This window comes from Homo sapiens, chromosome 3 (genome assembly GCF_000001405.40).
Source record: "Homo sapiens chromosome 3, GRCh38.p14 Primary Assembly".
NCBI lineage: Eukaryota > Metazoa > Chordata > Mammalia > Primates > Hominidae > Homo > Homo sapiens.
The window spans coordinates 187,465,878-187,480,050 of NC_000003.12; the positions used below are offsets into that span (position 1 = coordinate 187,465,878).

Below are 14,173 nucleotides of genomic sequence, written 5' to 3' on the forward strand. Positions count from 1 at the left end.
CATTTTACAAATGAGAAACTTAGGAGTAAAGCATTTAAAGGTTTAAAAGTATATTTTAAAGGAGCTCAATGGTTAAAAGTCACCTTTATTAAAAGGTTAACATCCAAGATGTGTGTGTGTTTGTGTGTGTATGTGCATGTTTGTATTTAAAAGGCCTTCATGTCTTCATGTTTTTGTTTTTCTCTCTTAGGACCTTGTCTTATTTTGAGCAAAAGTTTCTTTTTCTTCTCTGTTGACTGAATTTGGTTTTCACCTGATTTTTTGACTAAAACAGTTATTGCAACAGAGGCTACTTTTGTGTTTGTAAGCCTTTATTTATATGACAAAATGTAATGACCCACCAAACACATGCCTACCATATAGTCAAACCCAGCTTTTTTTTTTCTCTAAATTAAAGAGAAATAATTTAAGGAAGAGTGTTTCATGCGCGTCGGTGTGAAGAGACCACCAAACAGGCTTTGTGTGAGCAATAAAGCTGTTTATTTCACCTGGGTGCAGGCGGGCTGAGCCCGAAAAGAGAGTCAGCGAAGGGAGATAGGGGTGGGGCTATTTTATAGGATTTCAGTAGGTAAAGGAAAATTACAGTCGAAAGGGGATTGTTCTCTGGTGGGCAGAGTGGGGGTCACAAGGTACTCAGTGGGGGAGCTTTTGAGCCAGGATGAGCCAGGAGAAGGAATTTCACAAGACAATCTGTCATCAGTTAAGGCAGGAACAGGCCATTTTCACTTCTTTTGTGGTGGAATGTCAGCAGTTAAGGCAGGAACCGGCCATCTGGATGTGTACCTGCAGGTCACAGGGGATATGATGGCTTAGCTTGGGCTCAGAGGCCTGACATTCCTGTCTTCTTATATTAATAAGAAAAATAAAATGAAATAGTGGTAAAGTGTTGAGGTGGCGAAAATTTTGGGGGATGGTATGGAGAGATAATGGGTGATGTTTCTCAGGGCTGCTTCGAGCGGGATTAGGGGCGGCGTGGGAACTTAGAATGGGAGAGATTAAGCTGAAGGAAGATTTTGTGGTAAGAGGTGATATTGTGGGGTTGTTAGAAGAAACATTTGTCATTTAGAATTATTGGTGATGGCCTGGATACAGTTTTGTATGAATTGAAAACTAAATGGAATAAGGAGAAAAACAGGTATAAAAGGTCTAAATATTGGGACGACTCGGGACATCTGATTAGAGAGTGCCTGAGGAGATTCAGCATAGTCCTGCCAGCAAAGATTATTTATTTACTTCAATAGTTAAGAGTGGTAGTTTGAGGATAGCACCAGGTGATATCAGCTGTGATGGCTTGGAGAAACAGTGTAAACCGGCAGTGTAAACAAGAGCAGGGCATGTATGAGTAGTTGAGAACGGTGAATAGGAGTATGACTAGAGAGAAGATAGTAGGGATGACAAGTTTTTCTGGGGCACAGTCTAAGTTGGTCTGGTGTCTGGAATGAGACTGGGGCCTAATAAAAAGGATCGTCTATACAGGAGCTCAAATGGGCTGTACTTTGTAGCATTCTGAGGACAGGTCTGACTTCTGAGAAGGGAAAGTGGTAAAAGTATTGTCCAGTCCTTTTTAAGTTGGTGGCTGAGCTTGGTGAGGTGTGTTTTTAAAAGACCTTTAGTCCATTCTACTTTTCCTGAAGACGGAGGACCGTAAGGGATATAAAAGTTTCACTGAATACTAAGAGCCTGAAAAACTGCTTGGCTGATTTGACTAATAAAGGCTGGTCTGTTATCAGACTGTATAGAGGTGAGAAGGCTAAACTGAGGAATCATGTCTGACAGAAGGGAAGAAATGACTGCAGTGGCCTTCTCAGACCCTGTAGGAAAGGCCTCTACCTATCCAGTGAAAGTGTCTACCTAGACTAAGAGGTATTTTAGTTATTTGACTCAGGGCATGTTGAGTAAAGCTAATTTGCCAGTCCTGGGTGGGGGCAAAACCTCGAGCTTGATGTGTAGGGAAGGGAGGGGGCTTGAATAATCCCTGAGGAGTAGTAGAATAGCAGATGGAACACTGAGAAGTTATTTCCTTGAGGATACATTTCCACGATGGAAAGAAAATGAGAGGTTCTAAGAGGCGGGCTAGTGACTTGTACCATAGCATAGCCTGCCTTTGCTGGTGTGTGGCGATTAGACCTGGTGGAACTGCCATCAATAAATCAAGCGTGATCAGGGTGAGGAACAGGAAAGAAGGAAATATGGGGAAATGGGGTGAATGTCAGGTGGATCAGAGAGATACAGTCATGGGGGTCAGGTGTGGTATCAGGAATAATGTGGGAGGCCGGATTGGAGTCTGGGCCAGGAACAATGGTAATTGTGGGACTTAACAAAGAGTGAGTACAGCTGAAGGAGCCAGGGAGCAGAAAGTATATGCATCAGGTATGAGGAAGAAAATAGATTTTGGAAGTTATGAGAAATGTAGAGAGTAAGTTGAGCATCGTTTGTGATTTTGAGGACCTCTAAAAGTATTAGGGCGGCAGTGGCAGCTGCACGCAGACATGAGGGCTAGGCTAAAACAGTAAGGTCAAGTTGTTTGGACAGAAAGGCTACAGGGTGCGGTCCTGGCTCTTGTGTAAGAATTCTGACCGCACTAACCATGCCTAGGAAGGAAAGGAGTTGTTGTTTTGTAAGGGATTGAGGTTTGGGAGATTAATCGGACATGATCAGCAGGGAAAGCACGTGTGTTTTTATGAGAATTATGCCGAGATAGGTAACAGATGAGGATGAAATTTGGGCTTGACTGAAGTAATGGGGGCTGTCTGTGAAGCCTTGCGGCAGTACAGCCCGGGTGACTTGCTGAGCCTAATGGGTGTCAGGGTCAGTCCAAGTGAAAGCAAAGAGAGGCTGGTATGAGGGGTGCAGGGGAATAGTGAAAAAAGCATCTTTAAGATCAAGCACGGAATAGTGAGTTGTGGAGGAAGGTATTGAGGACAAAAGAGTGTACGGGTTGGGCACCACAGGATGGATAGGCAAAACAATTTGGTTGATAAGGCTCAGATCCTGAACTAATCTGTAAGACTTGTCTGGTTTTTGGACAGGTAAAATGGGGGAATTGTAAGGAGAGTTTACAGGCTTTAAAAGGCCATGCTGTAGCAGGCAAGTGATAACAGGCTTTAATCCTTTCAAAGCATGCTGTGGGATGGGATATTGGCATTGAGCAGAGTAAGGGTGATTAGGTTTTAATGAGATGGTAAGGGGTGCATGATCGGTCGCCAAGGAGGGAGTAGACGTATCTTATACTTGTGGGTTAAGGTGGGGGAATACAAGAGGAGGATGCAAAGGAGGCTTTGGATTGGGAAGAAGGGCAGCAATGAGATGTAGCTGTAATCCAGGAATAGTCAGGGAAGCAGATAATTTAGTTGAAGTGTCTCGGCCTAATAAGGGAACTGGGCAGGTGGGGATAACTAAAAGGAGTGCTTAAAAGAGTATTGTCTAAATTGGCACCAGAGTTGGGGAGTTTTAAGAAGTTTAGAAGCCTGTCTGTCAATACCCACAACAGTTATGGAGGCAAAGGAAACAGGCCCTTGAAAATAAGGTAATGTGGAGTGAGTAGCCTTGGTATTGATTAAGAAGGGGACAGACTTACCCTCCACTGTGAGAGTTACCTGAAGCTCAGCGTCCGTGATGGTCTAGGGGGCTTCCGAGGCGATCGGGCAGTGTCAGTCTTCAGCTGCTAAGCCAAGAAGATCTGGGAAGCAGTCAGAGAGCCTTGGGCCAGAGTTCCAGGAGCTCTGGGAGTGGCTGCCAGGTGAGTTGAACAGTCTGATTTCCAGTGGGGTCCGGCACAGATGGGACACAGCTTAGGAGGAATCCTGGGCTGCAGGCATTCCTTGCCCTGGTGGCCAGATTTCTGGCACTTGTAGCAAGCTCCTGGGGGAGGAGGTTCTGGAGGAACGCCTGGCCACTGCGGTTCAGGCGTTTGGAAGTTCTTGTGTGCTGGAGGTGTGGCTGGGGTTTGTCTCACAGTGGAGGCAAGGAATTGCAACTCTTTTCTATTATTGTACACCTTGAAGGCGAGGTTAATTAAATCCTGTTGTGGGGTTTGAGGGCTGGAATTTAATTTTTGGAGTTTTATTTAATGTCGGGAGCAGATTGGGTAATAAAATGTATTTTGAGAATAAGATGGCCTTTTGACATTTCAGGGTCTAGGGCTGTAAAGTATCTCAGGGTTGCTGCCAAATGAGTCATGAACTGGGCTGGGTTTTTCATATTTGATGAAAGAGCCTAAACGCTCACTGATTTGGGAGAGGTCTGATAAAGAAAAAGGAGCATTAACCTTGACTATGCCTTTAGCTTCAGCCACCTTTTTAAGAGTAAATTGCTGGGCAGGTGAGGGCTAGTCAAGGAACGAAACTGTAAGCCGGACGGGGTGTGAGGAGGGGAGGTGATAAAAGGATTATAGGGTGGAGGAACAGGGGCTGAGGAAGAATTGGGACTTAGCTTGGCCTGGTGACAAGCAGCCTGAGGAGGAGGGGAAAGATCAGATGGGTCTGTAGAAAAGGAAGACTGGAAAGACTCAGCGACGCTTGGGGTTGGGACTAAGGGGACAGGTGGGAGGGAAAGAAGGAGGATTTGGTAGGAATTGCATTGGGAACAGAGACTAGAGAGGGACTGATGTGTAAAAGAACACCTGGACATCAGGCACCTCAGATCATTTGCCCATTTTATGACAAGAATTATTTAGATCTTGTAGGATGGAAAAATTGAAAGTGCCATTTTCTGGCTATTTGGAACTACTGTCAAGTTTGTATTGGGGTCAAGCGGCATTGCAGAAGAAAATAAGATGCTTAGATTTTAGGTCAGGTGAGAGTTGAAGAGGTTTTAAGTTCTTAAGAACACAAGCTAAGGGAGAAGAAGGAGGAATGGAGGGTGGAAGTTTGCCCATAGTGAAGGAGGCAAGCCCAGAGAAAAGAGAGAGACATGGAGGGAAGGGGTTTGGGGGTTCTTACCCTCCAGTAAAGTGGGAAAGGGGTTGGGGCACAGAGATACAAGGTCAGGGCATGGAAATAAGGGATTGGGGCACAGAGATAAGAGGTCAGTGCACAGAAATAAGGGATTGGGGTACAAAGATGTAAGAGGTTGGGGCATGGAAATAAGGGATTGGGGCACAGAGATACGAGGTTGGGGTACTTGCCCCTCCTCTAGAAAAGTGGGACTTGCCACTAAAAGTGAAGGAGAAGGGGTTGGGGGTTTCTTGTCCCCCAGAAAGGCAGAGAAGGGGTACAGACATGGAGAGAAGGGGTTGGGGTACTTGCCCCTACCCCAGAAAAGCAGGACTTGCCGCTAAGGGTGAAGGACCAAGGCAGGCATCCCTGCGTGGTCTGACACCTCTGAAACCTGGGTGAATAATCAGAGCAGTGTCCCTGCAATGATTAAACACCAAGGGAAGGCTGCCTTCCCTAGTCCGTGACCGGCGCTGGGGTTTTGGGTCCACGGATAAAACGTGTCTCCTTTGTCTCTACCAGAAAATGAAAGGAATTGAAATTAAAAGAAGGGAGAGATTGAAGAGTGGAAAGGAGAAAGTGGTTGAGGGACAGTGAGAGAGGTTGGAGAAGAGAGTAAAAAGAGGCCGCTTACCAGATTTGAAATTGATGAGATGTTTCTTGGGCTGGTTGGTCTGAGGACCTGAGGTCATAGGTGGATCTTTCTCATGGAGCAAAGAGCAGGAGGACAGGGGATTGATCTCCCAAGGGAGGTCCCCCGATCCGAGTCATGGCACCAAATTTCATGCACGTCTGTGTGAAGAGACCACCAAACAGGCTTTGTGTGAGCAGTAAAGCTGTTTATTTCACCTGGGTGCAGGTGGGCTGAGTCCGAAAAGAGTCAGTGAAGGGAGACAGGGGTGGGGCCATTTTATAAGATTTGGGTAGGTAAAGGAAAATTATAGTCAAAGGGGGGGTTGTTCTCTGGCGGGCAGAGTGGGGGTCACAAGGTACTCAGTGGGGGAGCTTTTGAGCCAGGATGAGCCAGGAGAAGGAATTTCACAAGACAGTGTCATCAGTTAAGGCAGGAACAGGCCATTTTCACTTCTTTTGTGGTAGAATGTCAGCAGTTAAGGCAGGAACTGCCCATCTGGATGTGTACATGCAGGTCACAGGGGATATGGCTTAGCTTGGGCTCAGAGGGCTGACAGAGTGTAGTTTAGACACTTAGAAATGTCTTTGTTTAAAGAAAAACTTTTTAAATGCACTGTAAAAACATCACATGGTCTAGCCTCATAATTATTCTCCTTTTTTGGAGACCCAGGATTCAGTGTGGGCTCTGCCCACAGCTCAGAGACCCAGTTTTGTTTTTTTTTTTTAAAGGTAGTTTCTACCAAAATAAGATTGGTCTCCTTATACAATTCTTTGAAAAATTTCTATAATTTTATATTTGATTTGGCATCAATCTTAGTCTTCTTCTAGCACCACCAGACTTTTTCTCTGTGAATCTTGAGATGGAAATTTTGCCATCTGATTTTTCATCTAAGAGTTACTTCCTTCAATATACAGATTTAGCGCTATTTAGCTGACAACTGCCAGAGTAAGGAAACAGGTTATCAAGAGTTTGCAAGTCTAAGATAGGAAAAAAAAGGAAGTCTTAGAAATCTGTAAGATACGCTTCTATTGGCATGTCTAATACATCTATGTATTTATGTGTTGTATACATGCGTCACTACTGAAAATATAGAAAGAGTTCTAATTAATTGGCTTAAGAAAATAAAAGCACTTGACTTGAATGGTTTATCAGGAAAAAAAGAAAAGACTAGTTAAATGCTTTTTCAAGTTTATGTAACTTAAGTAAAATCTTTAATAAATAAGCTAGCTTTAAAATTATTGGTAATGTTAGAAATGTCTTAAGAATTGCCAGCATACATTTTTGTTTGCATTTATTGATCAAGCAATTTCATACTTATCCCTTCCAAATACTACAAGGTGTCAAAATGTGGCATGGGGTAACAAAACTATAAACCCAACCCCAAACAGAATGATTTTTGCTTATGTAATTTTTAAGAAATAAGACACTGATACAGGTTTAATGAAAATAGCTGCATCTTAAATTTAGTAAGATTACCATAACTTCTCATCCCATGGCTTTAGACAGTCTAGTCCACAGGCAGTAAGGAGGTTTGTTTTGGGAAACAACTGTTACCATCTTTGTTTCAAAGCTAAACTATAAACTAAGTTCCTCCTAAATTTAGTTTGGCCTATGCCCAGGAATGAACAAGGACAGCTTGGAGGTTAAAAGCAAGACAGATTCAGCTAGGCCAAATCTTTTTCACTGCCTCAGTTATAATTTTGCAATGGCAGTTTCATAACTTTAAATTATGACTATCGTAGTTTTCATAAATAATCTAGGTAAACAATTAAAATAACAATTAGGTAAACGTAATGGGATAAACACTTGTAGACTAACTTTTCATAATTTAGAATATAAAGTTATATTAAATTAAATAATAGATATTTCATTATTTGGGTATTTTCCAATAAATATATGTTGTTGGAAAACATTCTTGCTAAAAAAAATAGTGTGTCCTCTGTCCTTTTTAAGAAAAGGCGAACAAGTTTGTCTAATTCAAAGCTTATTTAAAGGTTATGTATAAAACAAGGTAAAGGAACCAGGAAATAAGAGGGACGTAAAGAAAGTTATAAAAAAAAAAGAGGGTTTTTTTTTGTGGTAAGAAAGCTTAAAGAGAAATAATTTTGGCCAGGTGCAGTGACTCACGCCTGTAATCCCAGCACTTTGGGAGGCTGAGGTGGGTGGATCACAAGGTAGGAGATCGAGACCATCCTGGCCAACATGGTGAAACCTTGTTTCTACTAAAACACAAAAAATTAGGCAGGTGTGGTGGCACGCGCCTGTAGTCCAAGCTACTTGGGAGGCAGAGGCAGGGGAATCGCTTGAACCTGGGAGGTGGAGGTTGCAGTGAGCCGAGATTGTGCCATTGCACTCCAGCCTGGTGACAGAGCAAGACTCCATCTCAAAAAAAGAAAGAGAAATAATTTTATATGAGAAATAATCTTGTATGGCAAATTTAGACCTAAAATAAAATGTCTGGTTGTTTAAGAAATAGAGATGTTCAGGACAAACCAGAAAGTCCAAGCATGTCATGAATGGTATGTGTAAGTCACAATAAGTATTTCTTAAATAAAATTTTTAAAAAACCCAAAACTTTTATATGATCAAGTTGTTTATAATTAAAGGGAAATTATAATGCTCTTTCTAGAGATTTGGCTTGATGCAAAAAAAACCACTTATACACTAAGTTATTGATTAGAACAATGACATTTTCTTAAGAGGTTGATTCACTCTTAATAAATTATAAGAGATTTTAATTCTTTTTTTAACCCAAAGTTTAACTTTTGTTGCATCTTGCTGTTTCTCTCCCCTTTTAAAAGGTACATTTTCTTAAAGGTCTAAGGGAAATGTTTTCTTCCAACATAATATTCTGTGCACTGTGGAAGATATTTTCTTTTGCCTTTTGGTAACTTGTGTAATGGATTTTATGTTTTATCAAAATAATTAGTATGCCATTATTATTAACTTTGTTTTGCTTCCCAGGAAAAAACTGAAATTTAATTTTTTTAAAAAATTAAGTTTATTATATTCATGTATCTTCCTGTATGTGCTTTTAAAGTCCTTGTGACATTGAGTTACAGGACTTTGACTCCTGGATCTAAAACGGCCACCAAGTCCGGCTAAATCTTAAACACTGACAGCCCTGTAATAGATGGCACATAAAATTAACTGCATTACTGAGACCCAGGGCCAGAAATTAAATCTATTCAGCTCTTCAAGGCCCAGGGACTATTTCAGTAGAGGTGGGCATGTGAGATTGTAAGGGCCAACTTTAAAAGATAAAAATAAGTTCAGTTTCTCTATAAATTAATCATTAATGTCAAAGGCACACTGATGCAAGACCAGCATATGGGCCCCTGTGTCAGATTAACAAGGTTTTCTTGAGGCATTAACTGATTCCTTAATAATGGTTATAAAGGTTATAAAAGGCTTCTGGAAGTTATATCTTATGGTAAAGATTTAAATGTTATAGATTGTTTATACATTTTGAAAAACAAATTTAATTGGCTTCATACTGTTTTTATTAGGGCTTATTGTTTGGGAAATTAAATCTCCTCTCTAAAAGAATAAAGGTTTTGCCTGTTTTTGAAATCTTTGAGTTATTACTTTGGTTAAAAGAATGACTTATTTTACAATGACTTGTGATCCTATTTTGTGATATCAAGTGTTTTAAACCTTTGATATTTGACAAACTTTTCAAAATCAAATTATAAATTATGTCTTTTTCTGACTTAATTAATCCTCTAAGATATTAGTTTCCCTAAAGTCCAAAAATGACATAATTTTGACATTTAGTAGTACAAAAATTATATAGGAAGCATTATCAAATATAAAATGGTGTTTGGTTTTCTTTGTTAATTTGTATAAATACGTTGTTGATATGTATTCTAAAATTTTGGGACACTCCTGTAATTCTGATATGACTTTACCAGTAATAATGATAATTGTTAAAATTATTGTCTGCCACAGAGGTAACAAATTTCCTTGTCAATTTTGTCTTTGACTATGGGTTCCCTAAAACTTTTTGTCATCCTTGGACAATGGTTGTGTTGTTTTGGTCCTCTTTGGAAGGTGGTTTTATAATCATCTATAAAACTATAACAGGTGCTCTCGAATGCAGGTTTCTGATAACTTTGGAGACTGTGACATCAGAATAAAGGAAAAACTTTCAGGACTCATGCATAGAGTGCTAAAATGTTCATGAATATCAACCAGAACAGGAATTAACTGCATGGACTGAACTAATCTTTTTGACTTTTTGCTTAAAATGTTGCTGATCATTTGTTTTGTTTTTCAGAGTCTTGAAACTTTTCTTCTGAGCTATTGACAGTTTTGGCAATTTAGTATACTCTTATGAACAAAATTTGGAGCACATTTGTTTCTCTCTACCTGATTTCTCCAGAATTTGGAAACTATTTGTGAGTATTCTTAATTTATGGCAATCCAGTTATTTGCATAAGTGCAACAAGAATTTGTTTTCATTTGTAACAGGACACAATTGGAGAAATTTGTTATTTTACCAAGGCTTTGACTGGAATGGTGTGTTGTCCTTTAAGGAATCAAACTTGACTCATGGAACCAAAAAAGTCCTTGGGAAAACTGGCCTCATAGTTTACACAGTCCCTCTACAGGGTTTCTGACCTATGGTAAGTAAAGAATGTCATTTTCAGAAAGGCCCAGGAGCCCCAAATTTATCTTGGAACCTCAAGAGGAGGGGAAATTCACCCAACTCATAGGTATTTGATGGTACAAGTCCATGGTTGGGTTCAGCTTTAAAAGTCTTATCTGAGATTCCTTCTATAGTAAAAACTTCCATCAAAGCCAAATTTTAAAAACATATGTGAAAAATAATTATTCTTGCTGCACTTTATACAAATAATCTGACCAAATATAATAAAGCAAATCAGTCCTACCATGATTTGTCTTTAGTAAAAATGGAAAACTGGAGAGAGAAAAATTATGTTTCAAAAACTATTGTACACTTGTTGTTAGATTTGAGTCTTTCCTAATGTTTTTCAATTTTTATTATTTTCTACAGTTTGGGCTAAATTATAATTTTTCCTGGCTACAAGTTTTCAAAATAATATTTTTAATTTTTTTCTTCTTTCTTTTCCTTTTCCCCCCATTTTTGTCCTAATTTGAAATCACTGAAAACAAAGCTGTGTTTTCTTAAAACCCTGTGAACTGAAGCCAGACACCTTAAACTTCAGAAGAAAATAACAGCAACCTATTTACATACATAAGCCACTTTCATATCTGCCTACTAATGTATGGACTTCAGAGTAATGTGACCTATATCAATTTTCCAGGATCCTTCTTTTGTTTGTTGTTGTTTTTCTCCTTTCCTCCCCCTCCTTTCTCTTCATAGGACATGAGACTTCACAATCTGCTAAAAATGAGCTTTCAGGAGCTACCCATCTAGAAATAAACTGTCCTAGCCATGAGAGATCAGATGAAACCTGAGACCAGAAACTAATTTCCTTCTAAAATGCTTTCTCCAAAAGATTTTTTAAAAGAAAAGAGGGGAAATGTGACAGGAAAATCTTGGGGCCACGAAATTACTAAGCTAATGGAAAAAGTCAAGCTGGGAACTGCTCAGGGCAAATCTGCCTCCCTTTGTATTCAAAGTCATCCCTCTGCTCACTGAGATAAATGCATATCCGGTTACCTCCTTTGGGAAATCTTATCAGAAACTCAAAATAATGCAATTATTTGCCTGTTGCCTACCTGTGACTTGGAAGCCCCCTCCCTGCTTCGGGTTGTCCTCATCTTTCTGGAGGGAATCAATGTACTTCTTACATATATTGATTGATGTCTCATGTCTTCCTAAAATATGTAAGACCAAGCTGTGCCCTGACCACCTTGGGCACATGTTGTCAGGACTTCCTGAGGCTGTGTTACAGGTGCACATCTTCAACCTTGGCAAAATAAACTTTATAAATTAACTGAGACCTCTCTCAAATTTTGGGGTTTCACAGTCATAGAGGTAATAATTGATGGAGCTATAACTGCTTGAGGGGTTCTTCCTGCCCAATGCATAAAGAAAGACCATGGCATTGTGGTAGAGAAAGAGTTTAATAGGCACAAGGCCAGCCACACCACATGGGAGATGGAGTTCCTACTCAAATCATCTCATCAGAAGCTCATAGGTTAGGCGACTTTCAAAGGCAGTTTGAGGGAAAAGGTGGGGGTGGCCAGGTAACAGGTGCTTGCTGCTGATTGGCTGGGTAGAGATAAAATCATAGGGAGTCTAAGTTGTCCTTCTGAATTGCTTTGCTTCTGGGCACAGGAGGGGGTTGGAGCCATGGATTTCAGACATACAAAAAAACCTGGAAAGATATCTCAAAAGGCCAATCTATAATAGTGGTTTTATTTTCAGGAATAATTGGGGAAGTTACATATCTTATAACCTCCGGAATAATGGCTGGCCTTCATTTATGTCTGTGCCTTAGCAGGACTCAGGCCCCTCTCCTCCCCCAAGTATGGAGGCCTCCCATTAGCTTTACAAAAGCAGTTGAGTTTTGGGCAAGGCCTATTATCATTTACACTGTCGCCTAAATGTCTTCCAAAGTTAGCCCAGCAGCCCAGAAATAATTAAGGGAAAGGCAAGGGGTGGGGAGAGTTGGCTTAGCTTACTGTTATAATTTTTCTCACTGATATAATTTTTGCAAAGACAGTTTCAGAGCCAGTTCTCAAACCCAGGTCTGTCTGATTCAAGCTGTGTTCTAAACACCAATGTTCTAACCATTTTATTTCTTTCTGAGCCTCAATTTCTTTACTGTAAAATGAGGCAGTGCAACAGATCATAGGACTTCACAAGTCTTTTTCAGCTCTGGAAGAATATGAATCCAACAGTGCAGATTGGAGTTTAGGATGGAGCTTGTCTTCCTTGCCTTCTGCTCTTTCTGATTCTCTCTGGAGAGAAAGGAGCTCTGTCTTCAAGTTGGAAGGATTGTCTTATGAAGGAGTGAGCTGGATCAGTCTCTGAGCCCTGAAGCAACAGATGCTAAATGAAAATTATATTCAGTTCCACAACAACTCTCTAACATGCAAAACACTTAGTGTCCTATATGTATTGTGAGTCTAATAATTTTTAGGAGCAAATAAAGAGTTTAAAACTTGGGAAACTTACCACCAGGTGTAATCTGAAGACATGCCTACATCTAACTTAGAGGCTAACTCTGATGTGGAGTTAAGCTGAATTTTTGAGGCTGCCATGGCCAATGAACCAGAAAATATGTATATATCTTAGAGTGGGAAGGACTTGAGAGATCACATTGCCCATCACCTTCATTTTATATATGAGTGAACTGAGGCCAAGAGAGGGTCAAGAGTTGTGTGGTGACCCAGACATAGAATACTGCCCTGAGCTATTATAGCAACCCTGTGTAACAATTAGAAAATTTTAACTACAACAAGCTTAATGATCCATGGGTTTTCTTGAAGTGTATTTCACACAAAAGGAGGAATATCTGAAATCTGAACTGCAATACCACCAGCTTCCCCAAGAAGATTTAAGCAGTCTTTTCTGCCACACTGACTGGATACACCTCTGATATGGTTTGGATTTGTTTCCCTGCCCAAATTGCAATTGAATTATAATCTCCAATGTTGGAGAAGGGGTCTGTTGGGAGGTGATGGGATCATGGGGGTGGATTTCCCCCATGCTATTCTCATGATAGTGAGTGAGTTCTCATGACATTTGGTTTTCAGAAGAGTGTAGCACCTCCCCCTTGGCTGTCTTCCTCCTGTTCCATCCATGTAAGACATGCCTACTTCCCCTTCACCTTCTGCCATGATTGTAAGTTTCCTGAGGCCTCCCCAGCCATGGTTCTCGTATAGCCTCCAGACCCATGAGCCAATTAAACCTCTTTTTATTATAAATTACCCAGTCTCAAGTAGTTCTTTATAGCAACACAAGAACAGACTAATGCAATCTCCCATTTGAGTGCTGTTCATCTCAGACATTATTTCAGATGGCACTATAGTTCTTTGCAATCTCAGCCTATGATGCTGTTATTATCTATACTTTTAAGAATATATTTAGCAGTGTTAAACTTGCTGAAGTTGCTCAGCTCCATCCAATAAAAGGATTGACCAAGAGCAAATTAGCATTTCATTAACTATTTTAAATATAATACTAACTTATTGAGCAATGATGACAGGATGTCTCAGAAATGGTAATACATTGAATTGCCCTTCAAATTCAGATTCTCCCATGCTTATGAGAAAATTACAAAAGGGAGATGTGGGCTGAGAAAGCAAAGATATTTCATCTTCATCATAGAAGAGGCGTATCTTAAAAGCAATGAGAATGATTTGTTTGCATGGCAATTTTCAGAGTAGAGTTCCAGAAAAAAGTTGCAAAAGAGTCAGAATCACTCTCTCAAAGCCAGATTATGGGTAGACTCTTTTGAGATCCCATGCCAAGGACCTTGAGAGAAACTGATGGTGGAAGGGACAGAATCAGGCCACTCTGGGAGTTTACCTGACTTGCAAGCTGACTGAATGTGGTGGCTGTCAGTTCAAACTGCATGGTCTAGATGAATGTGAGAACTCAACTCATATGAGCTGGTAGAGCCAGAATACAAAGTTCCACCTGAGTTGTGGGGCATGAATCAGG

At 40.4% G+C, this 14,173-nt stretch overlaps 1 long non-coding RNA gene across 1 annotated transcript in view, besides 1 other annotated feature; it reads right to left on the minus strand.

Moving 5' to 3' along the window:
- Positions 376 to 1,216: an enhancer, noted in NCBI's record as "OCT4-NANOG-H3K27ac hESC enhancer chr3:187184041-187184881 (GRCh37/hg19 assembly coordinates)". NCBI's record gives its function as "activates a minimal SCP1, AML or CMV promoter by ChIP-STARR-seq in naive and primed H9 embryonic stem cells {active_cell/tissue: H9 hESC(naive and primed)}" and the evidence as "EXISTENCE:reporter gene assay evidence [ECO:0000049][PMID:30033119]".
- The window catches only part of LOC124909471 (uncharacterized), a 30,393-nt gene continuing 27,826 nt past the window's right edge, over positions 11,607 to 14,173 (minus strand). Inside the window, exon 2 of the long non-coding RNA XR_007096210.1 lies at positions 11,607 to 12,541. This is a non-coding gene — a long non-coding RNA (uncharacterized LOC124909471). The remainder of the gene's footprint in view (positions 12,542 to 14,173) is intronic.